The sequence below is a fragment of the Homo sapiens genome, chromosome 21, assembly GCF_000001405.40.
Source record: "Homo sapiens chromosome 21, GRCh38.p14 Primary Assembly".
Taxonomy (NCBI): domain Eukaryota; kingdom Metazoa; phylum Chordata; class Mammalia; order Primates; family Hominidae; genus Homo; species Homo sapiens.
This window is the reverse complement of record NC_000021.9, coordinates 14,741,846-14,744,489: the sequence shown is the minus strand read 5'-3', so window position 1 is coordinate 14,744,489 and position 2,644 is coordinate 14,741,846. Positions and strand designations below refer to the sequence as shown.

General features: G+C 33.4%; 1 long non-coding RNA gene across 1 annotated transcript; it reads left to right on the top strand.

Annotated features, from left to right (window-relative positions):
• On the top strand, positions 1–1,328 carry LOC124905054 (uncharacterized). The gene is made up of 2 exons (XR_007067926.1): positions 1–36; positions 1,117–1,328. It is a non-coding gene; the product is annotated as an uncharacterized LOC124905054 (long non-coding RNA).
• Positions 1,329–2,644: the final 1,316 nt, after the last annotated feature.

Below are 2,644 nucleotides of genomic sequence, written 5' to 3'. Positions count from 1 at the left end.
GAACTGCTCTTTCCTTTATAAAATACCCAGTCTCAGGTAGATTTTTTGTTTTGTTTTGTTTTGTTTTGTTTTGTTTTTTTGAGATGGAGTCTCACTCTGTTGCCCAGGCTGGAGTGCAGTGGTGTGATCTTGGCTCAATGAAACCTCTGCCTACAGGATTCAAGCGATTCTCCTGCCTCAGCCTCCTGAGTAGCTGGGACTACAGGTGCATGCCACCACACCTGGCTAATTTTTTTATATTAGTAGAGACAGGGTTTCACCATGTTAGCCAGGATGGTCTTGATCTCCTGACCTCATGATCCGCCCGCCTTGGCCTTCCAAAGTGCTGGGATTACAGGCGTGAGCCACTGTGCCTGGCCAGGTAGTGTGAAAATAGACTTATACAAAATTTTACTCCATCTAATTACCGTGTCTTTTGATTGCGAATTTAATCCATTTACACTTAAGATAATTATTGACATGCAAGAACTTACTGTTGCCATTTTATTACTATTTCCTTTGTTCTCTTCTACCAATCTTGCTGTCTTCCTTTGTGATTTGTCTTCCTTTGTGATTTGTCTTCCTTTGTGATTTGTCTTCCTTTGTGATTTGTTGAATTTTTATAGTGTTATGCTTTGATTCCTTTCTTTTTATCTTTTTGGTATCTTCTAGAAGTTTTTTCTTGGTGGTTACCATGGAGTTTATGTGTAACATTTTAGGGTTATAACAGTCTATTTTAAGCTAATAACAGCTTAACTTCAATTGCATACAAAATGTCTACACTCTCACTCTGCACCCCCACCATATTTTATGCTATTTATGTCACAACTTATATCTTTTAATTTTATAAATCCATTAACAAATTGTTGTAGCTATAGTTACTTTTGATATTTTTGTCTTTTATCTTTTATGCTAGAATCACAAGTTATAGTCTTTGAAAAAAAATTAGTAGATTCAGAAATTTTTCTGAGCGAATTTTGAATTCCTCCAAATGAACTCTGTCAGTTTATTGTGAGACAGCATCAAGCTGCTCTAGGCTCTACAGTTCTGGAACACTAGTAGTTTCTTATTATCTCAGTGAATATTGTATTTAAAACTAAACCTAAAGGGGGACTTCTGTGTTATTTTCTCTTTCAGATCGTGTAGACTTCAATTGGCAGAGTTACTCAGTATTATTTACTTGGAAAATCCTCTGTAACCTAAAAGTCCTAGCTCTCCTGACACTAAGGATGACAATGGAACACTTAAATGGTAGCTGCCTATGAAGGGCTGTCCCTCTACCCCCTTGTTCCCTCTGAATCTGAAGCTATTAGCCACTTACAATCTTAATAAACTAAAATTTTTTTGGATATTTGGATTAAATTTTTCTAAAGTATTTAATGGGGAAGAATAATATACTGCATTTAAGAGTTTAAGTATACCTTTTTCATGGTCTATACCCTAGAAAACAAATTATATGACTCTTTTTAATGTGTTCTTTTCATACAATATAACAGTGAGCATCCCACCCCTCATTTCTTCCTTATGGCATGCATTTTTGAAAGCATGTAGTTTGTTTTTAATCATATATAGTGTTACTTGAAGAAACTTACTCTTTGCCTATGCTCACCTCCAGCATTTTAAATTCATAACCTTAATGCTACCTTAATGTTGGCTTTCAAAATTCCAAAGTACTGTAAAAGAGAGCAAGAAAGCAAAAAATAAAATAAAATATACAGAAATAGGGAAGGAAATGCAACCAGTTTGGAGAGAAAATAGGGCATGAGTGTGAGATATGTAATAGTAATCTCTAAGATCCAGCTGTAAAATGACATGATTGAATATACAATATACTGGTGATTGAAAATATCATATATTTCACATTAAGACAATTAAACATAGATATGGGGTTAATTTTATTTCTTTTCCTTCCAGGAGATGCATATATCTGTAGAGTTTTTATAGAAAGAAAACAGAGAGAGGAATCAATCCACACTCTAATACTCTTGTTTCTAAGTAATCTAATGACAACTCTTATAATTAAGTTTTTTTAAAAAAAGTCAATGTACTGAAATGGGAATCATGAGATCATCCAGCCATTTAACATCTCAGTTATATAAGTGAGACTTCTTCTTAAATTAATTAACCAGTGAGCGTACACACAAAAAGCACAATGAGTCAAATCTTTTCATCATGAACTTAGGTTAGCTGCATAGTTTTGAGCTTTTTGGAAACTTGCCAAAATAAGTTTTTACATATCACATTATAAGTTGGAAAAAAACTAGCATTACAGAGTAGCCTCGCTGAAATGAATTTTCAGGTAAAAACAAAGGATTAAATACAATAGTTGGTGAGGAATTTGCTGAACCTTCTTGAAATTTATTTCTTCAAATTTTTAATTCATTCATTCAATATATTTGAGTGTCCATCATTTATTAATAACCTATTAGTTCATATGTTGTTTAGCCGTATTAATTTTTTAAAATGGACTTTACTTCATTATTTGAAATATTTAAGGTGGGGTATACTAATTGGGAAGGGGATTTAAGTGTGATTACTGGGTAAAGCACTTGACTTATCAAATACAGCTCACCCAGTACACAGTGCAAATAACACACAATTAAATACTTCAATCATAGAAAGTGACTTAGATAAGCAGAGATCAGAGAAACAACTGATATGGAAT